This window comes from Homo sapiens, chromosome 12 (assembly GCF_000001405.40).
Source record: "Homo sapiens chromosome 12, GRCh38.p14 Primary Assembly".
NCBI lineage: Eukaryota > Metazoa > Chordata > Mammalia > Primates > Hominidae > Homo > Homo sapiens.
In genome coordinates this window covers 54,366,454-54,393,747 of record NC_000012.12, presented here as the reverse complement: position 1 = coordinate 54,393,747, position 27,294 = coordinate 54,366,454, and the positions used below count along the sequence as shown (strand labels likewise).

Below are 27,294 nucleotides of genomic sequence, written 5' to 3'. Positions count from 1 at the left end.
CTCCGAAGGAAGTGTGGCTCCCACCTTGAGACTTGAATAATCCAGACGAATTTAAGTGTAGGGGGGCTAGAAGGCCTGAGCCCTATCCTTGTCTGTGTTGGTGGAGATGAAAAGGAGAAGGAAAGGAGGCCTTAGGAAGTGAACAGAGCAGCTGGGGGTGCAGGGAGGGGGAGGGGGCTCAGGAGAGGCAGCTGGCAGGCGGGAAGCTGATCTGGGGGTCTCAAGTTTCTTGACATCAATTAGAGCAGCCGGCCTGGGCTCATTAGTAGCCCGGGGTGCAGGGCTCATCAATAATGAATTCACCCCACACACCTTCCCCCCACCCCAGCTGCCTGCAAGGTCACCCCGTCCTCTAGCCAGCTGCTTCCCCTTGGTAAGCTTAAGCAACCCCTCTTCTGAGATCTTCCTAACCCAGAGTCCCTGGGGCAGTGTGGCAGGGTGGACAACAGCTGAGCGCAAAGGGGTCTCTAAAACCAATCGACCATGCCTGATGATGGCTCTTGTTTAGTCTCTGAGTCCACCCAGGAGGAGAAAGAATGGGAAGAGGAAAGGAGGTGCAGGGTCTAAGGAGAAGCAAGGGTTTTTCATACTGGAGTTGACCAGCATGGTGGTAGGTCAGACCCAGAGCAGGAGGACCTCCTCTGATGGACCCAGAAACCCCATATCCTCTCCCAAGGCCAATCCCCTGAGATCTCTGCCCCACTGAATCAGAATGAGACTAAGGCATTGGCACTCCCAGCATTCTCTCCCTTGAGCTGGAGTGTCTTGGCAGGTACAGAAACAGGTCTTTTCTTCAAACCAGATTACTGGCGTGAGGGCAAGAGATTGCTGGGACCCAGAAACAGAAACTCAAACTTCCTGCACCTTAATTGACCATCCAGTCCCAATTTCCCTCCAGAACCCAGGAATGTCAGTCTCTTTCCCCTTCCTAAACCATTCCGAAACTTCAGTCCCACCACCCTTTCACCAACTTCTTCCCCTCAGCTTCTACCTCCCTAAACCTCAAACGTTCCAGTTCCCACCCACTTTTCCTCTGATTGGGGTTGGCCTGAAGCTGGCTGTGTGGCATTCTGGGAAATCTGGCTGCCACCCTCCCTCTTGAGACAAGTACAGACAGATCCAGCCTCCATCTCCCCCAGACATCTGCATTCTCCAAGACTCCTACCTTGTACTGGGGTCCCTTAAGAATACCTCTGAGTGGGCTGCGTGCGGTGGCTTACGCCAGTAATCCCAGCACTTTGAGAGAGCGAGGCAGGCGGATCACCTGAGGTCAGGCGTTCGAGACCAGCCTGGCCAACATAGTGAAATCCTGTCTCTACTAAAACTACAAAAATTAGCCAGGCGTGGTGGCGGGCACCTGTAATCCCAGCTACTCGGGAGGCTGAGGCAGGAGAATGCTTGAACCCGGGAGGCAGAGGTTGCAGTGAGCTGAGATCGTGCCACTGCACTCCAGCCTGGCGACAGAGCAAGACTTGGGTCTCAAAAAAGAAGAAAAAAGAAAAAAGAAGAAAAGAATACCTCCAAGTGGCCTGTACTTCCTCTCCCTCCTGACATTCTCCCCTGCTCATACATTTTGTCCTACCCTCCATCTTCCCCTCCACCTCACGAAATGCCCCCCCACCAGTCCTCCTCGACCGAAGCTCGCCTTAGTGGGGAATGCCGCTGATTTAGCCCTGGATAGATGCTCCCTGATGCCACCCCACCCTAATCCAGGTCATCTCTACAAGGTGCCTCAGTTCTGAATTTTCTGTCATCTTCCAGTTGCCCTAATGATCTCGGTTACAAGCTTCTATTTCCATCTCCTCAGGTCCATTGATTGCAATCTCCTCGCTGAGACCTTCCCTAAGGACCCAGGCATTCAGACCCCAGCCAGAACTCAACCTGGGATCCATCTTCAACATCCCATTTCACCTCAGAGGCCCAGCCCCCAGGCATCCTGCTCCAAAGCCAGAACAACAAACTAGGACCCATACAATTTCTGCTGCACTTCCCCTGCCCCCTGCTCAGTCCATTACTCTGGAGGGAACCTAGGTATCCTACCCAACCCAAGGCCCATCGCCTCCCAGAGTACTTAGGCACCCCCGCCCCCCTCCCCCCCCCACTCCCCTGCCCACCCCATATCAGCCCAGCACCAGACTTCCCGCCCTCAGACTCAGCCCTTCCCGGGAACCCAGGCATCCTAGTTTCCAGCTTCGTCCATCACCTCACACCGTCTTCTAGACGTCCTGTTCCCCCAGCCCTGGCCGCAGTGACACCGTAAACCCAGGAGGCCAGCAGGCAGCAAGAAGAAGGGCGGGAGGAAGCGGGAGGGGCCAGGACGCCCCCTCGCGGAGCCCTGAGTGCCCGGGTCCCCTCCTCCCGTCTTCACCTGCTGAGGGCCCCGCCCCCGCTCCGCCTCGGCCGGCCTCTGCTCCTCCCCGGCTCCTCCCCCCGTACCCCCAGCCCGGCCAGAACGGCCCCCGGGACAGAGCGACGCGGAACCCCGGGCGCCTGGGTCCCCAGCATGATCCTCGGTGAGTGGTCTCTGCGACTCCAGGCTCCCGGCTCCTGGGTTCCTCTCTGTGGGTCACCCACCGCCCCCCTCCACCATCTCCCGGCACCGCGGTGACTGCGGCCGCCCGTCAGCGACCGGTTCCCCCTCCCCCTTCATCTGGCTCCACATCTGGGGTCCCCTCTTCCCCTCTTCCCCTCTTTCCCAGGCTGCCGCTGCTCCGGGTAATTTAGGGAGTGGTAAAGCGGGAGGCAGAGCGGAGTGAGACCCCCGCCCCATAATTAGAACATTGCGTATTCATGAGGCTCATGAATATTATATACCAGTCTACGAGAGGCTGGGGGAGGGGGCTGGTCCTGGCCTGGTGGAGTTGGGGGAAAGGTTCTGACCCGTCTCCCGCCCCAGCGTCTTCCCCCACCCTTAGCTTAGATACTCCGACATCCTTCTGGGCCCAGGATAAGGGGGAAAGGAGGAAGTGGGGGGTGGAAGGAGAAGATGGTGGGTGTAGCTTCGAGGTGAGTGTGGTGGGAGGTGGGAACCTGAGGGCCGGAGATAAGAGGGCTGGGGAGCAGAGGGGCTGGGGAGAAGAGGGGCTTGGGAGAAGAGGGGGTGGGGAAAATAGGGGGTGGGAAACTGTCCATCCAGGGCTCCTGCGGCTCAGAGCCTGTCTCCACAGCCATCCTGCCCCAACACGCCGAGACCTGCCCCTCTCTCTCCCTGCTGTAGCTGCCTAAGTCCCTCTTTCCTCACTTCCTTCTTCTCCCTCCACCCCTGCCTTGGGCCGGGGGCACCAGGAGAGGGAGGGGCAATGGAGAGGGTAAGTATGGGGGATGGGAACTCCTGCTGGGCTCTGACAGCCCGTCAGCCACAGCCACCCCATCCTCATGACCTACATCAGGAAGGGAGCCCCAGGGGTGGGGGAGGAAAGGGCCTAGCTGTGCTCTGGACTCTGCATCAGCGCCGGCTGCATGCCCCTGCCCTCCACCCTGCCTCCACAATAGTCCACAGGCCTGCTCTGACCTCTGCCCTCCACCCTGGCTAGGCTGGTTTCTGGGATCTGTTTATGATGGGAGCCCCCCAACCAGGCCTAGACACCTGTGGTCTCCCTGCCCCCAACCGAGGACACCTGGCTCCATGCTGGTACCTGGAGGGCTTGACTGGCTCCTGCACTCATCCCTCTCCTGAGTCCCTCTGCTATTTGTCTTCCTTTCTTACCTTCTTTCATTTCACCGCCTATCCCTGTTGACTACCTATTGTCCTTCTGCCCTTCCTCCATCTCTTTTTCTCTCCTCCTCCTGTGTGTCCTCAGTCTCTCTCTGCTGTATGTCTCACCCCCTCCACCTGGCACTCCACCTATCTATTGAATGGATGACTGAACGAAGGCATGAATGGCTGGTTGCCTGCCTCCTTCTCAAGAGCCTCTCCAGCAGGGGAAGGTATTACCCACCCTTCTATGAATACCACCCTGATGCTAGAGTGACCCCCACCAGCACACATTGCACTCAGTCCCCCAGAGCACAGGACCCACATTCCTCCAACCTGTGTGATCTCTGCACCCTGGCTCCACCCTGGGCACAGCTCGAGAGGCAGCATCATGCTTGCCCAGAATAGGCTGGCATAAGCCGTGCTTTCCCTGGTCAGCAGGCCCTGAAAAGGACATCAAGGACCTGCTTGCTGGAGCCTGACCAAGACCCCAGCCACAGGAATAATTCCTGGGTCCACATTTTCTGAAACTGGACCACAGCCACAAGTGGTACCCTCACATCCCCCTGGAGGACACTGTAATTAATTCCCTCCTTATGCCAAGCCCACAGAGTGCGGGAAGTCTGGCAAAGCCCACATACCTTAGCCCTCTATGAGGAAGGAAGGAGAGAGGGAGGAAGCTGCCAGCCAGGGCTCCGGCCCCACCCCCAGGGACCCCCAGGGACCCTACAAAGGTTTCAGTTCTGAACACTTAGGTCCTCTGAATCCATGTGCATGGTAGCCGTGGAGGGACCCTAAACCCTCCCTGCCTAGCATGTGACACCCAGCCAGCCTGCTCAAGATCTAGAGTCTGGGCCCCAGGTTTAAGATGGCAGTTCTGGGCTCAGGTTCCCTGTTCTAAGCCTTTCTATACCATCCTTTCCAACTGAGTCCCTGGTGCAGTAAGGGTAGTGGCACATTGAAGGAGGCCCTTTCCAATCAAGTGGGGAAAGATTTCCCAGGGGCCTCCCTGCTCTCCCCTTCCCAGTCAACTACTCCCTCTAGGCCCAGTCCCCGCCCACATCCACCCTGGGGTTATTAGGCATGGTGTTTTGAGTAGTTGTTCATAATCATCCCCCTCGTCTCTTTCATCTTTGACTTCAAAGCCTTTCCAGTCCTCAGCCTGCCTCCTGCCAAGATGGGGGAATTGAGGCTGAAGGGGACATATACATGGAACTTGGTAAAAAAGACCCAGGGGTTCAAAGTTTTCCTCCCACCCCCGCCCTCAATTTTAGGCACTTCTGGGGAGGGAGGAAAGGCCAAAAGGCCTGAAGGGAAAAAGAGATTAATTAGAGAAGAGATCTGAATTTCTCCTGTGGCCCAAGTCTAATTCCCATTTTAACCCAGTACTGGCCCTGTGCTTTTTACCACCTTGGGCCCTAACTACTTGCAACCTTAACCCCAATATCTCTCTCTGATCTTAATCCCATTCTGGCCCAGTCTTCCAACCAACACTAACCCACAGCCCTATACTAACACCTTTCCTGGCTCCTATTCCTACTCAGATGCAGCCACTCCCTAAGCATTCTTTAACAACAGGGCTTGAGGCATGAGGCCCCACCTAAAATAGCCAAAGGGCTGGGGCTCCAGACCAGGCCCGAATTTCTAGGGAAGAGGGAAAGGAAAAGACCATTAGAGGAAGCCAGATGTGGCCTGGTTGAGGGTTAGTGCTGACAGCACAACTTGAGCAGGATCAAAGTGCCCAGGGCTAAGTAGGATGTGAAAATGGACAGATGGACATCCATCCAAGGGTCTGGAATTCACCCCCTCTAAATCATGTTGGGAGCTTTCTTTAATAAAGCATTTAGCAATTCTCGATGAAGCTGGGTGGGGCTCTATCTGCTGGAGGTAATTACTCTAATGAGCTTCCCTCAAGAGTGGCCTGCCCCAGCCAGGCCTCAGCTCCTCCCTGCCTTGCCTGACATGGGTGCCACACACACACACACACACACACACACACACACACACTTACACACACTTCAATTTGCTCTCCACCTCTTCTGCCAAACCTGCCTGGAGATTTTACCTAGCTAGAAGTCAAAAGCCCCACACTTCCTACTCAGTTCCTGCCTCCCCAGCCATTCCTATATTCCTGCCTTTTCCCCTCCTCCCCTTCCAGATCTACCCAGAAAAGTGTAGTGCTTGAAAGCCCTGTCTCTGGAACCAGACAGACAGGTTCACGTCACTCACTAACTGTGTGACCTTGGCCAAATAACTCTCCTTCTGAGCCAATTGTCATCATCTATAAGATGAGATTCATTTATTCAGCAAATATTTATTGAGTTCTCACTGTGACATGCCAGCATCTTACATGGATTTGTTCAATCCTGTCAACAACTTGGTGAGGCAAGTAGTGTTGTTTTCATTTGACAGATGAGAAATGAGACTGAGAGTCAGAGAACCTAGCTGCTCACCCAGCTAGTGAGTGGTGGGACCACCTACTGGGAGATTGTGTATGTAAAGTGCCTGGCCTATAGTAAAGCCTCAAAAAGCGGCAACTATTGTTAGCCTCAGAAAAAGAGAGGGAGAGGCCTAAGGCCTGGGCTACCTGAAACCAAGAGTCCTGTTTCTGCCCACCCGGCCCAAAAGCTGCCATCTGCCTCTCTCGCCACCTCAGAATGGAGTGGACCCAGGAATCTGGGAAGTAGATAGTTTGTCTCCAGTTGCCTGCCTGCTTCCTTCCCTCACTGTACCCTCATTTGACCCCTCTCTCCCACTCCACTCCCCTCCCCTCCCCCGCTCACCCAGGGCTCATGTCTGTGGAAAAGATGAGTTGTTAGCCATAGATAACTGAGTGGCTGCTACCTGTTTTCCTCTATCCCTCCTCTGGAGGAAAAATGAGGACTCCAACCTGAGGAAGTGCATGGAACCTGCTCTCCCCTTCCTCTCCTTGAACAAGATGGAAGCCTGTGCTCAGATCTCTGCTTCAGTTAAATTCAAGCCCTTTGGGAGTAAGGTAGCAGAGAAAGAATTTGCTGTAGAGTCCAGCAGATCTTGATCTATATCTCAGCTCTGATATTTACAGGCTGTGTGACATCAGCCAAGTTTGTTAACTACTCTGAGTCTCCATTTCCTCATAAGTCAAGTAGAAAAATATTATCAGCTACTTCATTGAATCATGGCTACTTCATTGAGCTACTTCAGAGGTTAAATATGATAATACTTGGAATTCATTACCTGGCACATAGTAGCCTCAAATTTTTTTCTGTGGCTTTTTCTGGAACTCTGCTGTCTCCTCTTAAGATGGCTTTGAGGAGTGGGAGCCTAGAGAAATCTAGAACCAGGGAAAGGGTCAAGCCAAGCTTCAGCCTCTGGTGCTCTGGGGCAGGGCAAGTGCCAGCCCAAAACCAGCTGCTGGGGGTGGATGCTGGGTGCAGGGGACTCTGGGAGCACTCAGGTTTCTCTCACCATTCCTGATGCCGCCTGGGGCTCATTAAGGCTGCCCTGGCCTTGGGTAACAGGCAGTAAGGGAGGGTGGGGCACAGAGGGCAGATGCCATAAGGGGACAGACCAGGAAGGGGAGGTGGTCAAGCTGCCCCATCCATCTATCTGTCCCTCTCTCTTCTCTTTTATCTTTCTCGCTGTCTCTGTTCTCTGTCTCTCGGTCTGTCTGCCCTAGTCTCTAGTTCTGTGTCCAGCTTTTCGGCAGTGTCTCTCTGTTTGTATGTCTGATTTCGCTCTCTGACATCTCTCCATTGTTCTCTATCCTTTTCTCTCTCAGTGTCACTGTCCGATTCCTCAGTCACCTATTCCTGCTGCTACCACTCTCCCATCCTCTCACTCACTTTCATCTGTCCGTCTCTCTGTGTGTGTGTGTGTGTGTGTGTGTGTGTGTGTGTGTCCTCTCTCCACCCCATCCCAACCTTGAAGGTGACAGAGGAGGGAATAGACACAAAGCATACAGACCCCCAGCTACTTAAGGGTCAAAGCCAAGGATCTTACCCTCTCCTTTAGCCCTGAGAATTCTGAAGCCCAAACTCCCAGTAGCCTTGACCCCCTGCTCTGTCTCAGTCACCCTGACCACCCATCCTGGCATGGGGTGAAAGAGACAGACCCCTCCAGACCTTTCTGGACCAGCTCCCAGCCCCCAGCTGTGCCTGAGCCCTCCCCACCCCCTCCCTGTCGCCTCAGATTCCCCTAATCCCTGCTCCCCTGCCCTCCCCTCTGCCCCACTTTTCCAGGATTCTGATTGGCTGATTCTACTGACTGGGCTGAGGGGGAGGGGGCTGGCAAGGGAGGGGGCAGAGGGCAGAACCAAGGGAAGGGGACGCTGTCAGGCCCAGGCCCCTGGGGGGCCAGGGCCAGGCCACTGCCTGGGGGCAGCAGGCATCAGAAACTAAAGGTATGAAAGGGGGTGGTGTCTGGAGGGAACAGGAAGGGATCCTGGAGACCTTCTGCTCTAGTAAAGTCAAGGGAGGACGGGCCAAGCACGCAGCCTCCTCGGTTTGCCTTTGTTCCTGGGAACCCCTGTTGCTGTCAGGGGGTTACTGGAGCAGTGAAGGGCGGCCAGAACTCCCCAGCTGGTGCACAGCAGGGTCGCAGAAGGGAGCTGGGCCAGTGGAAGCCCAGAAGGGCTCTGAGGACCTTTGGGCTGCCCCTTTGGAGTCTGGTGGAGTTCCTCCCGTGACTCTGAGAGGAGGAGGAGAAGGTTTCAGAGAAGGGTAGTTGAATGGCTGGCCTGGACTTTCATTTCCCCTTGGGGTCAGACCCAGGCATTCCCCGCCCATAGGCCAGGTCGAGGTTCCTCCTGCAGAACTGGACCTGTAGCTGAGCATTCCTGGTGAGACAAAAGGGCATGGGGGAAGACTGAGGAAGGTTGGGAGAAGGGGCTCTGAGAATGGCCTAGGTAGTTCACCTCCCAGAGCAAAAGCCACCCAACCCACTACCTACCCCCACAGATGTCAATAGTTAATAAAGAATTATAGTTAGAGCAAAATCTAATTCTAGGGCATCTGAGAGATTCAGCAGCCCCCCTCCAAATCTAAGTCTCAATATCCCCCTCTGGTCAGTAGGATGAATCACCCACTTGACTCTCTTCTTCCTGGGGCGATACCAAGCTTTAGGATCCCCTGGGGGAAAGCAAAACCAGAAGAAGAGGGTGGCCAGGGGCTTGAGGCTGGGAGTCCTGCTGGTTCAGCAGGCAGCCTGCAGAAAAGGTATGAGCTCTTACTGGGTCTGTAATGTGCCTAAGGAGTTTGGGGGAGGGAGGCTGGAAAAGGGGGAAGTGAAAACCACCCAGAAGGGAAGGACTGGTCTACACCCTCCCCCAGGCCCACAGGGCACTGTGCTCCATTGCTCTGGAGCCAGCAGGGGAAGTGTGTACACTATGTGCACTGAGGGTGACACTTCTGAGTGTGGGGGCCCTGGCTAGGGAGTGGGACTGGCAGGCTTGGGTGGGGTTCCCAAGCTTTAATCTTCCTACCCCACAGAATGTTTTCTCTGCCCTTCAGGCAGCCTGAGCCGGGCAGGGCCCCTGCCTCTGCTACGGCAGCCCCCGATCATGCAGCCCCCACTGGACCTCAAGCAGATCCTGCCCTTCCCACTCGAGCCAGCCCCTACCCTTGGCCTCTTCAGCAACTACAGCACCGTAAGTAGCAGCCTGCCTGCCTTCTCCATCCTCTTGTGACCCGACCTTTCTCTCTCAGACCCACCTCTGCCCTCTTCTTCTGTTTCTAATTCCTTATCTCCTCTTATGACCCCATCTTCCTTAATTCTAGTTAATTTTGAGTATTGTGGGCCATCTGGTACAGTGTTAACAACAATAATAATAGCTAATATTTGCTGAGGTCTTGCTACGGGCCAGACACTGTGCTAAGTGTTTTATATGAATTATCTCATTTAGTCCTACAGTGAATCGCCCTACCATCTAGAGAAGTAATGAGACTTAAATTGGTGGTAGTAACAGTAGGGAGGTAGGAGGGGTGTAGGTGCTGAATCCAGAAAGAGGGAATGAGCAGGAAAATAAGCATGCCTGTTTGTAAGTTTCACCTCTCTGCAGTCCACGGCTGGGTGGGTAGCATCAGTGGGATAGGGCTTGGAGGACTGGCAAGGTGGTCTAGATTTAATACAATATGAAATAAGGAGGTGCTGTCTATTCGTGTGTTTGTTTGTTTGTTTTTATGAGACGGAGTCTCACTCTGTTGCCCAGTCTGGTGTGCAGTGGCACGATCTTGGGTCACTGCAGCCTCCACCTCCCCAGTTCACCGATTCTCCTGCCTCGGCCTCCCAAGTAGCTGGGATTACAGGCGTGTGCCACCACACCGGGCTAATTTTTGTATTTTTAGTAGAGATGGGGTTTCACCATGTTGGCCAGGCTGGTCTCAAACTCCTGACCTCAGGTGATCCGCCTGCCTCAGCCTCCCAAAGTGCTGGGATTACAGGCATGAGCCACCACACCCAGCCGCCACTGTCTATTCTTGAGCAGGAGAGTGACTTGGTAAGAGCAGTGTTTGAGGAAGGTGAGTGGGGCAACTGGATGAAAGGGAACAGAGGCAGGAGGAAGGTGACAGTTAGGAGGCTGTCCTAGCAATGCAGGCCCGAGGGAAGCCTCAAAAGCCAGACGGGGCTGGTGGCAGTGGCAGTATGAGTGGAGAGAAAGGGAGAATGGGGGAGGTAATTTCAAGGAAATATTGACAGGCCATGGTGACCAACTGGTGTTTGGGGGTGGGGGAGAAGAGAAGGCATGAGTCAAGGATGACTCCAGCATTCAGGCCTTTGTGATTGGATGGAAGTCACCACTGACAGAGGCAGAGGGTTGGAAGAGGAAGCTGGTCTCCAGTGAGGATGATGCTTTAGCATGTGGTGCTAAAGCTAAAGCTTTATTTGTTTTGTTTTGTTTTGTTTTGTTTTTGAGATGTAGTCTTGCTCAATCTCTCAGGCTGGAGTGCAGTGGCATGATGATCTTGACTCATTGCAACCTCCGCCTCCTGGGTTCAAGCCATTCTCCTGCCTCACCCTCCTCAGTAGCTGGGATTACAGGCACGTACCACCATGCCCAGCTAATTTTTGTATTTTTAGTAGAGATGGGGTTTCACCATCTTGGCCAGGCTGGTCTGGAACCCTGACCTTGTGATCCACCTGCCTCAGCCTCCCAAGTGCTGGGATTACAGGCTTGAGCCACCGTGCCTGGCCTATTTGTTTTGTTTTAAAAAATAATAATAAATATTTTTTTTAAAAAAAAAAGGATATGGTGATTTGGCATACCAGTAGGACATTGAGCCCAAAATGTTCTACAGATAGTTAGAATCTGAAGCCTGGAAGGTGGGCTAGAGCTAAAAGTTTGGGGAAAGTCAGCCTTATTCAACTTAAATAACCCACATCAAACCATATTTAGCCATAAACATGTATTGAGCATTGACTACACACCAGGCACTGTAGCAGATGTTTCTATCTGCAATCTCATTTCACCTTCACAACAACCCAACAAGGTAGACATTATTATTCCATTTAACAAATAAGAAAGCAAAAACTAAGCCTCAGAAGGGTTTAGTAATTTATATAAGTTGACACAGTATGTGCCTAAGGTATGATTTGAACCCATTGCATCTGACTCTAAACAGACTTATCGTTATACCACAGCTGCTCCCCCCAAATGAGGGACCCAGACACACATTTGCATTGCACTTTTAAGTTTTCAGACTGGGCCAGGCGTGGTGGCTCACGCTTGTAATCCCAGCACTTTGGGAGGCCGAGGCAGGCGGATCACAAGGTCAGGAGATTGAGACCATCCTGGCTAACATGGTGAAACCCCGTCTCTACTAAAAAAAAAAACAACAAAAAACTAGCCGGGCGTGGTGGCGGGCGCCTGTACTCCCAGCTACTCCGGAGGCTGAGGCAGAAGAATGGCATGAACCTGGGAGGCAGAGGTTGCAGTGAGCCGAGATTGCGCCACTGCACTCCAGCCTGGGCAACAGAGTGAAACTCCATCTCAAAAAAAAAAAAAAATTCAATTTAACAAAAAAAAAATTTTTTTTGAGCACCTACTATGTGCTGGGTACTGTGCCTGGTGTCAGGGACACGGGACTCAGTTACCACACTTGGGGAGCTCATAGTTTGGTAGGAAGGATAACAAGTTAACAGTTACCCTATACAGTGTGAGAAGAGCTGTGTCAGAGGCATTTTGCTTGCATGGAAGCCCAAGTATCAAGAAAGACCTTCCTGGATGTGATGGGGCCTAAGGGACCAACCAGAGTTAGGCAGAAAAACAGAGAGCAGAGGAAAAAGGGATTTAACCTGGAGCAGGTGACATATAATTTGGGCTTTGAAGAATTATTGGCAAGATTTTTAAAGTAGTCTTAGAGAACATTCCAGACTGAAGTAAGTAGCATGAACAAGGGCTAGAAAGGAGCATTTGAGAAAGTGCAAGATTGGATGTGACTAGGTCATAAGATGGGGAGAAAACCTCCCCCCATCTAAACACCTGACTTACACTTGACCTCAGATCTTAGCAACCCCATCATTGTCCCCATTGTATAGATGAGGAAACACAGACGCAGAGAGGTTAAGTGAATTGTCCAAGGTCACAAAGCTACTTAGTTGATTGGATAATCCAGGGTTTCGACTCCTGCAGAGTTCATGGCTCCACTGCCTCTAGCAGAGGTATTTAAAGCGATGAGCATGGATAAGCTTGAAGAGTTCAGCAGGGTGTTGAACTGCATCCTGCATCTGATTGGCAGGATTTAAACTGATGTTCCAAAGTACTGGCTGTGTGATCTTAGGCAAGTTATTTAACCATTCTGAACCTCAGTTTTACTGACTGTAGAATGGGATAGTTTTTTTTTTTCTTTTTTTCTTTTTTTCTTTTTCTTTTTTTTTTTTTTGAGACAGAGTCTTACTCTGTCCCCCAGGCTGGAGTGCAGTGGCCCAATCTCCGCTCACTGCAACCTCAGCCTCTTGGGTTCAAGTAATTCTCCTTCCTCAGCCTCCAGAGTAGCTGTGGCTACAGGTGCACACCACCACGCCCAGCTAATTTTTGTATTTTTAGTAGAGACAGGGCTTCACCATGTTGGCCAGGATGGTCTCAATCTCTTGACCTTGTGATCCGCCCGACTCAGCCTCCCAAAGTGCTGGGATTACAAGCATGAGCCACTGCGCCCGGCCAATTTTTGTATTTTTAGTAGAGATGGAGTTTCGCCATGTTGCCCAGGCTGAGAATGGGATAGTATTAACACCAGCTCACAAGGTTGTGAGATCATATTACATAATCATAATGCCTAGCACAAACTAAGTGCTCAATCAGTGTTAGCTGCTATGATTATTATGCTATTGCTATTGTTTTTATTTAAAAGAGGAGTAAAGAGAGAAACTTAGGATGGTCAAGGCCTTAGCCTTCGGGAACGTGCAGAATTAGGCAGTGGGAACAGGAAGAGGCTTCAGCAAAAGGAATGGAAAAGCCACTGGAGCGGGTGGGGAGGGAAATATGTTCCTGTAGAGTTGGAGAAGCCAAGGGAGAGAGTGTGGCGGGCTGCATCAATACTGTCAAATTCTGCAGGGGAATGAGGACTGCAGAAAAGCTGCAGACAGGCCTTTGGAAGTACTGTGCAGCAGTTAAGTACGTGGCTTTGGAGTCAGACTGCCCAGGTTTAAATTCAAATCCCAGTTCAGTCACTTACTAGCTTATGACCTTGGGCAAATTATTTAACCTCTCTAAACCTCAGTTCCCTCCTCTATAAAATGAAGATAATAATAGTACTTACTTCAAATAGTGGTTGTGAAGATTAAATTAGATAATCCATGCAAAGAGCTCAGTACAGAAGCTGGCACATTGCAAGGGCTCAATCAACATTAGATGGTGGTGGTGATATTATTATTCATGACAGAGTCTCTCTTTCCCAGTGGACTGGCACCTCCAGTGCTCTCTCCTACTTGGGCAGTTCCTACTCCTTAGACCTCTTCTAGAATTACTGTCTCCCCTCGTTCTCCTCCCACTCACTCCACTGCTTCCCTCTGCCCTTGGACGTCCCTCACTGTTTCCCAAAGCCACCCTCTCTCTAGATCCAGTCCCCTGCTTCACTAATGTCTCTGCCTTAGGTGGGATGGGAGAAGATGAGACCTAGAGATGAAATACTGGGAATCCCAGGACCTGTCTAGACAGAACGAGGTGTCTGGGGGAGTGGGCTGCTAGGCCCTACAGCCTCTGGTCCCCCAGTGCTGCCCCCACTGAACCGCCAGAGGGCAGCAGGTGCACGAAGCGTGGGCTTTCAGGGAGCCTGGTTCTCCGGCAGGTGGCGGGCGCGGGTAGGAGGTGGGAAGAAGTTAGGAACGACATCCCCAGTCTGAGGTCGCTTTTGCCCTGGGTGCCCTCAGCTCCATGATTTGGAGGAGTCTCTGAGAGAGCAGTGCCTGACACCTGGGTACCCGGGTTCAGTTTCCCATCCCTAGGGAGGGAAGTGACTTGTAAAAAGGTAGCAGCATAGGGGCCGCCGTTTGCAGAGGAAGCTGGGGAAGGGTCGTCTGGGGACTCTGAAGACAGACTGTCAGCAGGGGATCTAGGGAAGGTGGGGCAAAAGGGGTGAAAGAAAGGAGAAATGTCTGAGTTGGTGGGGACCCTGGACCCAAGAAGGAGCCCCAGTGGAGGCAACGAGGTCATCTGGTCAATGCCCCTGCCGCGGGGCCAAGCGGCTCCTTCTCTTCAGAACAAGCTCTTTCCTAGGAGTGTCTGGATAATGGACATCTCCCTCTTTCCGCCCTAGCCCCCTTTCATTCCTCTTCAGCTCCCTGTCCCTGTCCCTGTCCCTGTCCCCGCCCCCGTCCTCGGCCCCGCCTCCGGGGCGGGCTCCGGCCCGGGCCAGCGCCGCCTCCCCTTCTCCCCGCCGGCCGGGCCGCACAGCCCCGAGCCGCCCGGGCAACGAGCGCCGCGTCCCTGGCCTGCCCGGCCCGGCCAGGCGCGGCCCCCCAGCCCGGGTCCGCCACCCCGGGCCATGGAGCCGCGGCCCCCAGGGTCTCGCAGGGTAAGCCACCCGGCCCCTCCTCTCTCCCTGACTCCCGCGGCTGCCGCAGCGCACCCCCACCCCGTCCCCGCCCGCCCCTGCGGGGCTGGCTACCGCTCCCTCTGCCTAGTCCTCGGGCTGTCCGGCCCATCCCCCACATCGGCGCGGCCCTAACCAATCTCGGGATCCCAGCTCATGCCCCCAGACTACTGCCACCACACTGGATACCCTGACCTCTGCTTCCCACATTCTTGGAGTCCCCCAAATCTTCAGACTTCCTGTCAGGTCCTACACCTGCCCTCCAATGACCACACTGATCAGATCCCTCCTCTCCAGCCCCAGCCCCTTCCCAGCATCCCTCCCCCACCAGCTTGCACCTGCTCTCTAGATACCCCCTAGCTCCCTCTCTTTCCTATCTCAGTCCTTCCTCAGGTCTTCCCATCCCTGAGATTCCACCACCTTTCCCTTTTCGTCTTAATTTTGGTGGGTGGGGAAGTGGGATGCTCACACAAGGGGCAGCAGTTCCATCAGATAAAGGGCAATGGAAGGAAATATAATCATAGCACCCCTCCTGTTCCTGATCTGGTTTCCACCTTCCCTCTCCCTTGCCCTTCCTGATTCATTTTGCCCCAGCGTCAGGGAGCGGTTCCCCTTCATGTCTACTGTTGGAGGGCAGGTGGGAGGGGACTGTTTTATGGACCTTTCGAGGCCGTGTCCAAGCCAGCATCCCAGGGAAGAAGCTCTGGAGTGAGATGGGCTCTGGGAGGTGCTGGCTTTCACCCCTCCCCAGGGAGCCCTCATCTAGGTCACCGGGGCCTCCTGACCTTGGCCTGGAGCAGCACTTCAGTGGCTCACATTCCACCTGCACAGGGATTGGGCCCAGGAGTCCTCACTTTCATCCTGGTGTCTCCTTAGTTCCTGGAGGAGGGTGGGAAGCACCCACCTGACTCCACTGCTGCCCTCTTCCCCACTCCCCACTCCCACTCCTAGTTGGTGTTTATGGACTTAAACCAGGGGAGGGGGTTGTGCAAAAGCTAAGGTTCTCACCCTGGAGGAAGGACCCAGGTAGGGCAGGAACCATTCTCATGGTATGGATGTTGGGGTGGCCAGTCCACAAGTCATCCTCGGGGTACTGTGTCCTCAGCCCCTCTGGAGAGCAGGCTGGCATGATGGGGCAGAGCATAGGCAGAACTAGGAGACTCTGCTTCCCCCTTCCATCCCACTCCTCTCTCCCTACTGTTTTCATCCAACTTGGGTTTCCTGGCCCAACTTGAGTTTCTGTTTGAATTCCCATTCCCCACCCAGCATGTGAGGAAGCCCAGGGCTGAGGAGAACTCTGGAACAGAGTTGGGGGTCTCTAAATAGGAAGGATTAAGGCCTGGAGACTGGGAACTGAGAGCAGCAGTCTGTCTCCCCTTTCTGATTAAAGACTGTCTCCAACTTGGTCTGTCTTTCTTTCTGCCAAACACATCATACATTTACACAGATAAACACACAGCTGAAGATTACACCACCTGACCATTCATGGTGCCATCAAAGCCCCCGACGCAGAAATGTTGATATATAAATGATGTACGCACAGTACATGACACTTATTCACACTCCACCCATGCACAGATTGATCACAGCCTGCCTAACACACACAGACACACCCGTTCTCCTGTTTGGCTTTTCCCTGGATGTGACTGGGGCTTCTGGGAAGCTGAGGTAAAAAAAAGTGAGCCCTTAGAGAGGCTTCTTTCCAACCAAGAGTAGGCCAAGAGATTGACACTTGTCAGTCAGACCAGTTGTCTGAACCCAGTCCTGGTCCCTGCCTTCAGCACTACCCAAATGGAGAGTGGATGAGGCCACCATCTATTTCACAGGGATACGAAAGCCCATTTCCTGACATTAACCCCACCCAGCCAGTGAAACTACTGGTGAGAGGAAAGGAGAGTCCAGAGGACAGGGCTTTCCAGACTCTTACTACTTTCCCCCACTTCTTGTTCTCTCACCAGTGTCTCATTGGAAACCCTAAAGACCTGTCACAGAGATGGGCTCGGCTGAGGAGATAAGGACCCCAAGTCCCCAGCAACTATTTTTCACTTGATCCCTCCACCCAGAAGATAAGGTTTTGTCCTAATTCAGTCCCATTCTTATGAGAGAGCCCAGCCATCCCCCAATCTTCAGTCTCAGCTGCATTCCAGGCTTTCCTCTCCCTAGCTGCCTAGAGGCCAAAAGGGAGGAGAACTGTTGAGGGAGGCAGTTTTCACACCTCTGAGCCCCTGGTTTTCATCCCCTGATAGCAGAAAGCCTCAGAGAAACTCCCGTCCTCTCCCTTACTCATGTGAACTCTTGGCAGGAGACTGCAAAGACGTCTGCTGACCCAGGGTGGGGACAGGGATGGTTCCTAATCCCGCCCAGCCCCACAGCTCTGCCCTAGAAACCCTGATGATCAGGGAGAAAAGGTTCAGAAGATCCCTGGGCTGCCTCGGGCCAGCCCAGCTGCTTAGGTCCCCCCATTTAGTCCCCATGATTCACTAGAGCTCCTACTCTCTCCTGAGTTCTTTTACTCCCTCTAGAAGTTGCTGCCCTTAAGAGGTCCAGAGAGTGTGTGTGTTAGGGCGACCAGGGATCCAGAGTTGGGAGGCTGGGAACATCTGTCTCCTGGGACTAGAGGCTGGGCTTGGTGATAGTCTTACCCCAGAGTGGAGGCCCAAAGGGCTCAGAGGCTTCAGCTGAAGGCCCTAGGATCTAGGGTGCTTTGGGACTTCATGTCAGAGGCCTCTGGTGGATTGGCTTCACTGTAGGAGATAAGTCAAGGTGACACAGTTGTATGTTCATGGTATGATGGACCAAGGCAGGAATCCAGGTTCAGATACCAGATCTGCTATTAACTCATGGTGTGACGTTGGGCAAACCACTTCTATGTCCTGTAAAATGGGAGCATTGGGCCAGTTATCGATCAGGTCCCTTTCAGTGCTATGAAGATTGGGCTAAGAGAGAATCAGAAGACTGAGGCTCAGATCCCTCAGGCATATTAAGGGATAGAAGGGGTCTGGGGACCTTGGTTCAACACAGATATCTGTGTTGGGGGAATGCTGGACATGAGTTGCGCTAGGGTTCCCGGCTCACCCCAGCCTGCCTCCACAGATGGACCCTGTGCAGAAGGCTGTGCTCTCCCACACTTTTGGGGGACCCTTGCTCAAGACCAAGCGGCCCGTCATTTCCTGTAATATCTGTCAAATCCGCTTCAATTCTCAGGTAAGAAGCCAAGCTGCTCATCTACCCAGTGGGTGGGGCAGGGGCAGCAGGGGAACTTGAGGGAGGGCAGAGGCTGGGTGAGAACACTTACTCTGGTTGAGGGGCAGGGATTAAGGGGATATTAGGCAAAGAGCAGGGAATGGGGATACCGCAGGAGGGGCAGGGTCTTGTGGAAGGCACTGGAGAGACACAAGAAGTTGCTGTGTATTTTGACATGAAGTAGATCAGTCCTCTAAAGTTGACCTCTCCCTCCCTTGAGACTTGGGCATCCGTGGTTCAGAGCTTCTTGGAACATAGGTGGCCATCAGTGTCTGAGCAGGAGTGTGGCCTCTGGCCCACTGGTTCTTGGGTATGGGGCAGAGTTAGGTCATTGGCTCCCCCACAGAGCCTCTGTCCTCTTTGGCCTCTGCTAAACTCCTCCTTGGCCCACCCACTTCGCTCTAACTTTCTGGCTTCCTTCTCTCTCCACCCCATTTCTACTCTCCTCCCTCCAAATCACACACAAGGCCTGGCCCCTACTCTTATCCCATGGGGCTTTCCCCTGGGGAGAAGCTACCCCAAACCCAAAACCCAGATGTTCAGCCTCCCAGATTTCCTCCCTCTGAGGCTCCACTGGGACTCTGTGGAGTGTGTGTGGCTCTAGAGGGGACTTTGTGGGGTGCAGGCCCTGAGAGCTTTTGGAGAAAAACAGCAGAGCCTCGTTCTGCTGAGTAGGGGAAAATAAAAGCATGTTCTGTTTCTCTACCCAGTACAGAGACACACACACACACACACACTCCATACTACTGGGCTCTGCACACTGCTACTTTACCCCTGGGCTGTCAATCTTCTTTTCCTGCCTATCCACACCTTTTATTTCTGCCCTTGTCTGGGTGACCCTGTGCCTCCAGGATGGTACATTCTTAGCAGGGGTATACATGGGAGTGGAGCAGGGTGGGGAAGGGAAGACAGGACTAACCCAGCATCAGGCCTCTGCTTTAGCTTGGACCCCAGGCATCCTGTCTATCAACCCTGGCTCCACTCACTGGTGGATGGTGGAAGACTAGAGGGGCAGGGAGCCAACAGCAGATAGCCCTTCCCACTTTTTGCCCTACCCTCCCCTCCCCCATCAAATGGTTCTGTTTTGACAGCTGTCTCCACTGCTGTTTTCTGTCCCCAGAGCTGGGCTCGGGGCCAGGGTCCTCCAGGGTGTCCACAGAGGCTTCAGGGAAAATGAGACCCAAGGGGAAGTAGTCAGGACAGAGCCCAGGCATCAGGGATCCTGGGACTTCCAGCCTCAGGGTGAAAGCAGCAAAGGCTGGATCCTAGGGGCAGAGGACTTGGGCACATAGCCTTGGGGTCTAAGAGGATGCTGACTGACTGGATTGCTAGGCCTCTCCCCATTTAGAACTCTTCCATAGGTTTGTGGTCCCCCTGTCTCTACCAGGACTAGGTGGGGGTCTGAGTCAGCAGCCAGGCCCTGGGTGTGGTGGTAGGGTGGAGTCTGAACTAGGTGGGGACCTAGGTTCCCAGGGACTCAAGCTTGAGAAGCTAGTCTGAGCCCCAGGAATAACCAGGACTTATTGGTATGGGGCTTTACATCTCACTGGTGTACAGAAAAATTCACTGCAGCCTGCTGAGATCACCCCAGGACTTGAGGGAGCTCTGTGGGGAGATCGGTCAGATGAAAGGTGATCTCAGATTCCATTTTCTTCCTCCATCCCTAAAGAGCCAGGCTGAGGCGCACTACAAAGGTAATCGCCACGCCCGACGAGTCAAAGGCATTGAGGCTGCCAAGACCAGAGGCAGGGAGCCTGGCGTCCGAGAACCTGGAGACCCAGCTCCCCCAGGCAGCACCCCAACAAATGGGGATGGTGTAGCACCCCGTCCAGGTGTGTCTGAATCCCCGCATATTCTTCAACTGATCTCTGTCTTCTCTATTCTCTCCCCCTTTTCCAGAACTGTCCTCTGCTTCCATCTCTCTCTTCCTCAGTCCCTATACCCCCACCCCCACCCAAGGTGAGTCCTGGAGCCAGGCACAGTGATGTAAAATTTCCATCCTGTCACCCTTACCCCCACCACAGCTCCTCTCAACAGAGTCCCCACTGTCTGTCCTCCCCACAGCCCAGTGACTCAGAGAGGGGCTAGGGTGAGGCCACCTGGCAAACATCCCCAAGAAAAAGAGAACCACCAAATCCAGAGAGATGCCTTTTCATCTTAGGGAGAGGGGCAGGGAAGGGAATCAGAATATCTGAGTTCCTGCCCTACTGGGGCTCCCCTCGGGGAAGACAGAGAGTGCAAGAAACCCAGGAAACTCCCTGGATGATCTTGGGTAGTAGTAGACCTTTTGACCTCCCTAGTCAGAGTTTTTTTTTTTTTTTTCTGGGAAATAGAGGAGTGAGACTAAGATCTTTGAGGTCTTTTCCAAGTTTACAAGATTCCTTTTCCCTCATGGCTGGTGACCATCCTCAGTCATACTTGCAGCCAAGAAATTGGAAAGCAGGAATATTGAGACAGGAAGATATGATGAGCCACCCCCATCCTGGGATTACCACATCGGATGTCAATCATGGCCAATTCCAGAGAGACCTAACATCTCCATCCTTATACTTGCCTGTCCTTCCTGCCCCACCCTAAGAAGAATGAGAAACAAACATCTGTACTACCAGCTTGGAAACCAGGACCCCATTCTCAATACACACACACACACACACACACACACACACACACACACACACAGAACCCCCTCAGGGATGCACAGTCAGAGTGAGTGGGCAGGCGGGCAGGTGGGGGAACTGAGTTCTGTTTTTTGTTTGTTTGTTTTTTGAGACAGAGTCTCACTCTGTCGCCCAGGCTAGAGTGCAGTGGCACAATCTCAGCTCACTGCAACCTCCACCTCCCAGGTTCAAGCGATTCTCCTGCCTCAGCCTCCTGAGTAGCTGGGATTACAGGCACCTGCCACCACACCCGGGTAATTTTTGTATTTTTAGTATAGAAAGGGTTTCACCATGTTGCCCAAGCTGGTCTCAAACTCCTGACCTCAAGTGATCTGCCCACCTCAGCCTCCCAAAATGCTGGGATCACAGGCATGAGCCACCGTCCCCGGCCACGGGAAGCTGAGTTCTAATTGTACTTTGGCTGCTTCTTAGCCTGATCATCTTAGTTTGTTAACATCTCTGTAAGATGGAGAGGAAGAGGATGATGATGATGATGGTGATAGCTAACATTTCTTGAATAGCACTTTACACATATTACCTCATTTAATTCCTACAGTATCTCTGAGGATATAGGCAGGATAACTATACCTGCCGTGCTTTATAAACCATGAAGTCCTGTCCAGACTGAGATGTGGATGTGCTGTCTGGATTGGGATGGAGGTGAAGAATGTCAGAAAAAAGTAAGAGAAATAAGGGGAAGGACATAGGATGAACAAGCAAATGGGTACCTGGAGGGGTGAGGAGTTCCCCTCCCACAAGCTCCCCACCCCCACTGCCAGCCTCGCCATGACCCGGAAACTGGATCAGCTGCTGGAGCAAGAATGGGAGCGCTAGAGTTTCCCCTGTACAGAGGCCAGAACCCAGCACTGAGGCCTAGGGCCTGTGCATCTTTAATCAAGCCATGAATTATAGAGCAGCCTACATCCCTGTTTCTTCCCTCTCCGGTTCTGATGTTTCTATTTCCCTTTTGCCATGCCTGTGTTTATCTCTCCAGACCTTTCCTCACCCTGCCTCTGCCCCTTCCTAGGGCTCTTTCGTGTACTTCCTGGGGGCTGGGCAAGACTCCAGGAAGGGGCTGTCCTGGCAGGAAGCCCAGACTGGCTGGCAGGCCACTGAGGGGTATATCCTTGTTGCATGCCTCTCCCCCTGGCTGGGCTGGCTGCCAGCTTCACCCTGAAGGTAGGCTGGTGAGGCTGGACCCCTTGGCCATTCCCAGCTAATGGAGAATGAGCCAAGCATTGGAGTTTCACACCCAGCCTGCGGCAGCTGGACCACATCTGGCTCTGGACCAGGGCATGAGAGCATGCATGTTGTAACAGGGTGGGGACTCCTGGTCCCTTGCCCTCCAGGAAATGGGGGGGGTCTCTTCCACATGAAGAGTCTTCTCCAAGAGCCATCTAGGGTGATCCCCATGTTTCTCCCCCAACAACAGTTTCCATGGAGAATGGACTGGGGCCAGCCCCAGGATCCCCAGAGAAACAGCCTGGCTCCCCATCCCCTCCCAGCATTCCGGAGACTGGTCAGGGTGTAACCAAGGGTGAAGGGGGGACTCCAGCCCCGGCTTCCTTGCCTGGGGGTAGCAAGGAAGAGGAGGAGAAAGCCAAGCGGCTGCTCTACTGTGCTCTGTGCAAGGTGGCTGTGAACTCCCTGTCCCAGCTTGAGGCACATAACAAAGGTATGGACTCCCCTGCCCCCACCCAGACTCTCCTGTCCTCAGGCCACCCCTGCCTCTACATCCTAATGCCCCTGGCTTCCAACATCCCTAGACCATCTAAGACCTATCAGCCTATCTGCCTGTCTCCTTCTCCAGCCATCTCCCCTGTTCCTTAGCCCTTTACTTCCTCAGCTCCTCCCTCCATCTTACTCCTTTACCTATGACTCTCTCCTGATCCACCTCTTTGGGAGGGTCCCAAGGAGCTTAGTTAGAAAGAACCCACACTGTGCCCACCCTCTTCCCCCTCATATTGTACCTGGGAATGTGCATTCTGAGGCCCAGTAGGCCTGGATAATTTTTCTTCCACCCCTTACCTCCTGCCCTCTCTGGGCTCCAGGTACTAAGCACAAGACAATTCTGGAGGCCCGAAGTGGGCTCGGGCCCATCAAAGCTTACCCTCGGCTGGGGCCTCCCACCCCGGGGGAACCAGAGGCTCCTGCCCAGGACCGAACTTTCCACTGTGAGATCTGCAATGTCAAGGTCAACTCGGAGGTCCAACTGAAACAGGTGGGTCTAAGGCCCTTCCCAGGAATTCTGGGACGCTCCACCCGCTAAGTGGGGAAGGGGAGCAAGGAGCTTGAGTAAAGGCCCTTCTTCAGAGTTTTCCCCAGGGGGCCAGATGGGAGGGGGCCGGTGCTTGGAGCTTGATTATACTCCCTCGCTGTTGCCCCTTTCCGGGAGCTCACAGCCCCCTATCCACTGGCCCCCGCAGCACATCTCCAGCCGGCGGCACCGAGACGGCGTGGCCGGGAAGCCCAACCCACTACTGAGCCGTCACAAGAAGTCTAGGGGCGCCGGGGAGCTGGCGGTGAGGCCTGGATGCTGGGAATTCAGCAGTGGGAGGGCGCGGGCGGGGAGGAGAGAGGGACGCGGGCTTTGCCCAGGGAGAGGTGGGGTTTGCAGGACCGCCGGGTGACTTCTCTTCCTCCGCCTTTCGCCCGCTTCAGGGCACGCTGACTTTCTCCAAGGAGCTGCCCAAGTCCCTGGCGGGCGGCCTGCTCCCCAGCCCCCTGGCGGTGGCTGCAGTGATGGCAGCGGCAGCAGGCTCGCCGCTGTCCCTGCGCCCGGCTCCAGCCGCACCTCTTCTCCAGGGACCGCCGATCACTCACCCTCTGCTTCACCCGGCCCCCGGACCCATCCGAACTGCGCACGGACCCATCCTCTTCTCCCCGTACTGACCTCAACCCTGAACCCCTCCCATTCAACTCCCCACCTCCAGCCGGGACCCAGGCGTCCGGGCTCCCAGCCCGCCCCTCCTCCCGGCACTCCCTAAATGATCTCTCCTTCCCCCCCCCCACCCCGAGATACGGGGTTCCAGGAAAGGGGAGGGGTAGCGGGGGAGGGGGGCTTCAGAAGGGGGGGAACACCCCAGATCTCAGGGAACCCCGCCCCCTGCCTTTCCCTCTCCCCTAGAAAAGGGGGGGCCGTCTCACCCCCGAGCCCCCTTGGAGACACCCCCCCTCCCAAAAGCCATGTCCATCCAGCCCTTCCCCCCAAACCTAGCACAAAACGGGGTTCACAAGCCATGGTCGGGGTCCGGGGGGGACAGAAATGGATTTTCTTGGCAATAAGCGGACTCTGGGACTCCGGCTCCCTACCCCAAACTGAAGCGCTTCCGTGAACACCCCCGTCCTCCGTAGGGGGAGGGGAGCAGGCGGGATCCTGGGTCCCTCATAAGCACTTTGGTTTTACCGCCTGCAACCTCACTGTGCCCGCCCCGCACCATGCCCTAGCCCCAGGTCTAGCCGGGCCCATTGCAGGGGGCAGCACTTGGGGGCATCTCCGGCACTTGGGTGGGACCAAGGAGATGCCACCATAGACCTTTCCCTCGCCTTCTTCCTCCCTAGTCCGGGTTCCATTCTTTTCACCAGCACCCATCGCCCAAGGGGTACCGAGGGGGGCAAGGGGTGTCCAGTCCAAGCCCACCCCCGCCTCGCCTTCCGCAAAACTGTGAGCAAAAAGCAATAGAAGCCTCGCCCCCGCCCTTCCCCTTCGCAGGATTCGCCGAGTCTGTAGCCTCCCCGATCCAAGTTCCTAGACCTCATGGCTGTCCCCTCCCACCAGTCACCTCCACTGCACAACTCGGGCGGGGGTGTGACACCTCTCCCCCACCCCCGACTCCGTGGTTTCCGTATCGTCAACCCTTCAGCCGCCGACCCGGGAGGGGTCTGGCCTACACTGGTCTTCCCCTTCCCATCAACTCTTTCTGCTTGACAATGTAGCAACCCAGGCCCCCCACCCACGGTCCTCCCCTTTTTCCTCTCCCTGACAATAAAGTCTGAATTTGTTCTGCCCTCCGCCCCTAGACTCAGACTCTGTCTTTGCCCGCTGTTTTGGGAGCAATTCTGTCGTTAAATGTATCTGTATGGGACCGGCACAGAAAGAGGAAAGGGAGCGAGAAGGAGGAGGGAAACGGAAATCGGGGGTGGGGGAGGCAAAATATGAGGCTTGTGCAGAGTGAGCAGAGGCTCCCCATCCCACCCACGCCCACTCTCGTCCAGCTCGTGTAAACTTGGCCTGGGGGATCATTTCTAGTCCAAGTCTGGGACTGCAGCTGCAGCTGTTGAGAATTTGCCACAACTCCACAAGGCGGCGCCAACGACCCGGAAAAGGAGTCTAAGCCCGAGGCTAAGCCGCTCCTGTAATGTGTTTCGAGATTCCACGCAGATGGGTCTAGACTCAGTCTCAGACAAAGAAAAGAATCCAGGCTTTTGTGTGTCTGGTGGGAAACCCACGCCAGCGAGACTCAAGGCACAGGAAGAAACGGGGGGCAGAGACTGGGGATCTGAGCTCTAGGCTCTGGCCCCACATAAATAGTGACCTTGAGTCAGTCCTTGCCCTCTCTGGACCTCAGTGTCACAGTCTTCAAAATAAGGAGACTTGAGTCTTTCAAAGGTTCATTAAGATCTCATGTATCCAAGACTGAAGAACTGAGACTGTGCCATTTACAGATATACTGGAATACCTTCTCAACTGGCCCCTAAATGGTCTGTGGAACAGGGAAACACTGTTCAGCTGTCTCTCACATGGTATGTGAGGAAAATGGTTTCTCCGTTATCTCCAAAATGTGGTTCAACCATACACTCCCAAGAGCAGCCAGTAATCCTGACCCCCTCTATCCCTACTGAGAGGCAGGAAGTTCAAACAAAAAAGCCCAAACCAAAACCCAGAATCTATGTGAGTTCCTCCCGACTTTCATCTCTGCTCACTTCCCCCACTCTACCCACTTCCCAGTCTTGCAGAAGAAAGGAGGAGGGAAGTTGGGATGATGTCTGTTAAACAGGAAAGAGAGGGGAATGGGGGACTCCTGGGTTTGTCAACTGTGAGGCTGAAAGGAGGGTGTTCACTGTGGGTTCAGAATTGGAACCCAATAAGGAGTGTTTTGGTGTTTGTTTGCATGTTTGTTTCCAGGTAAATCTAGCTTTAAAAGGGGTGGGAGGATTCAGAAGGATGCGGGACAAGAGAGGCCCTATAGAAGAGTGGGTAGAGAAAAGCAGGGGCTGGGTCACATGTGGGGAAGGAGATAGGGACTGGAAGAAATTGGGGTTAGAGAGTCTGGGATCCTAGCAGACCCCACAAGTACTTCAAGTCTGCTAGTTTAAAACTGAATTCATTATTTACCCCTTTCCCTAAGCCTGCTCCTCCTCCCACATTTCCTATCTTATTAAGAGCACCACCATCTGTCTGGAAAACAGAAAGTTATCCTAGTTCCTCCTTCTTCCTAACTCTTCATCCAATGAATCACTAAATAAGTCCTATTTGACCTCCTAACAACCTATGGATCCTTATCATTCCTCCATTCCCACAACCACTGCCCTAACCAGGACTGGCTCCATAATTTGTGGGACCCAGTGCAAAATGAAAAAGCAGAGCCCCTTATTCAAAAAGTATAGTATTAAGAATTTAAAAACAGTGATTGACGAGCATTTAACCAAGCACCAGGCCCTTCAAACTGCAAGGCCCTATGCAGTTGTACAGGTGGTCTGGCCCTAACTTAGGGCCATTCTATCTCTCGTCTGAACTAGTGCCTCTTTACCCATTTCGCTCACTCCCAGGCTGCACGCCTTCATTCTTTACTCACAGCAATCTAAGTGCAAATCTCACCAACTCCTTCAGCATGAAACCAGCTCCTTAGCACGATACACAAGGTCCCCCTTGACCCTGCCTGCTCAACTCTCCAAGCTCTTCTCTGTTGTTCTCTACCTCATGCCCTTTGTTGGCTTCTACCTGAACCTCTGCGCCTCTACACATACTGTTCTCTTTGTCTAGAATGTCCCTCTACTTATCTCCCAAAAAACTCTCCTGTTCATCATTCAGAATGCAGCTCAGTAACCTCTCTGTGAACCCTTTCCTCACCTCCTACTTAATAGTATGCTCCTTTTCTCTAAGCCTCTGATATATCATTCTGGGTTGTTTTGTTTTGTTTTGTTTTGTTTTTTGAGAAAGAGTTTTTGCTCTGTTGCCCAGGCTGGGGTGCAGTGGTGCAACCTCGGCTCACTGCAACCTCCGCCTCCTGGGTTCAAGCGATTCTCCTGTCTCAGCCTCCCAAGTAGCCAGGATTACAGGTGCGCACCACCACGCCTGGCTAATTTTTGTATTTTTAGTAGAGACGGGGTTTCATCATATTGGCCAGGCTGGTCTCGAACTCTTGACCTCAAGTGATCTGCCCGCCTTGGTCTCCCAAAGTGCTGGGATTACAGGTGTGAGCCACTGCACCCAGCCATGTATTTTTTGTTTGTTTTTTGTTTGTTTTTGAGACGGAGTCTCGCACTGTCACCTGGGCTGAAGTGCAGTGGCGCGATCTCGGCTCACTGCAACCTCCACCTCCTAGGTTCAAGAGATTCTCCTGCCTCAGTCTCCCAAGTAGCTGGCATTACAGGTGCCTGCCACCACACCCAGCTAATTTTTTGTATTTTTAGTAGAGACGGGGTTTCATCATATTGGCCAGGCTGGTCTTGAACTCCTGACCTCAAGTGATCT

At 53.7% G+C, this 27,294-nt stretch overlaps 1 protein-coding gene and 1 long non-coding RNA gene across 20 annotated transcripts in view, besides 4 other annotated features; one reads left to right on the top strand and one right to left on the bottom strand.

Annotated features, from left to right (window-relative positions):
* The window catches only part of GPR84-AS1 (GPR84, ZNF385A, ITGA5 and GTSF1 antisense RNA 1), a 113,340-nt gene that overhangs the window by 73,283 nt on the left and 12,763 nt on the right, over nucleotides 1-27,294 (bottom strand). The window lies entirely within an intron of this gene.
* Nucleotides 2,241-2,450: a silencer, noted in NCBI's record as "silent region_4529". NCBI's record gives its function as "represses an Ori minimal core promoter by ATAC-STARR-seq in GM12878 lymphoblastoid cells {active_cell/tissue: GM12878}" and the evidence as "EXISTENCE:reporter gene assay evidence [ECO:0000049][PMID:35858748]".
* On the top strand, nucleotides 2,450-24,612 carry ZNF385A (zinc finger protein 385A). 18 transcript variants are annotated; one of them, NM_001437416.1, is made up of 9 exons: nucleotides 2,450-2,513; nucleotides 8,791-8,889; nucleotides 9,184-9,320; nucleotides 17,794-17,904; nucleotides 19,613-19,775; nucleotides 22,033-22,275; nucleotides 22,652-22,821; nucleotides 23,027-23,122; nucleotides 23,262-24,612. In NM_001437416.1, the coding sequence occupies exons 1-9, from the start codon at nucleotides 2,504-2,506 to the stop codon at nucleotides 23,490-23,492; spliced, it is 1,260 nt and encodes a 419-aa protein (NP_001424345.1). In that variant the 5' UTR covers nucleotides 2,450-2,503; the 3' UTR covers nucleotides 23,493-24,612. The 18 variants fall into 18 exon arrangements, with proteins under 18 accessions (NP_001424345.1, XP_047284650.1, NP_001124439.1 ...); XM_047428694.1 differs by having other exon boundaries at nucleotides 8,743-8,889; NM_001290004.2 differs by lacking the exon at nucleotides 2,450-2,513 and adding an exon at nucleotides 7,969-8,075.
* Nucleotides 2,491-2,550: a silencer, noted in NCBI's record as "silent region_4528". NCBI's record gives its function as "represses an Ori minimal core promoter by ATAC-STARR-seq in GM12878 lymphoblastoid cells {active_cell/tissue: GM12878}" and the evidence as "EXISTENCE:reporter gene assay evidence [ECO:0000049][PMID:35858748]".
* Nucleotides 5,190-5,823: an enhancer, noted in NCBI's record as "H3K27ac hESC enhancer chr12:54781709-54782342 (GRCh37/hg19 assembly coordinates)". NCBI's record gives its function as "activates a minimal SCP1, AML or CMV promoter by ChIP-STARR-seq in primed H9 embryonic stem cells {active_cell/tissue: H9 hESC(primed)}" and the evidence as "EXISTENCE:reporter gene assay evidence [ECO:0000049][PMID:30033119]".
* Nucleotides 5,824-6,458: an enhancer, noted in NCBI's record as "NANOG-H3K27ac hESC enhancer chr12:54781074-54781708 (GRCh37/hg19 assembly coordinates)". NCBI's record gives its function as "activates a minimal SCP1, AML or CMV promoter by ChIP-STARR-seq in primed H9 embryonic stem cells {active_cell/tissue: H9 hESC(primed)}" and the evidence as "EXISTENCE:reporter gene assay evidence [ECO:0000049][PMID:30033119]".

Coding starts and splice junctions, on each gene's coding strand:
- ZNF385A (NM_001437416.1), top strand. Junction 9,321..17,793: donor TCTTCAGCAACTACAGCACC/GTAAGTAGCAGC, acceptor CTGCCTCCACAG/ATGGACCCTGTGCAGAAGGC. Junction 17,905..19,612: donor AAATCCGCTTCAATTCTCAG/GTAAGAAGCCAA, acceptor CCATCCCTAAAG/AGCCAGGCTGAGGCGCACTA.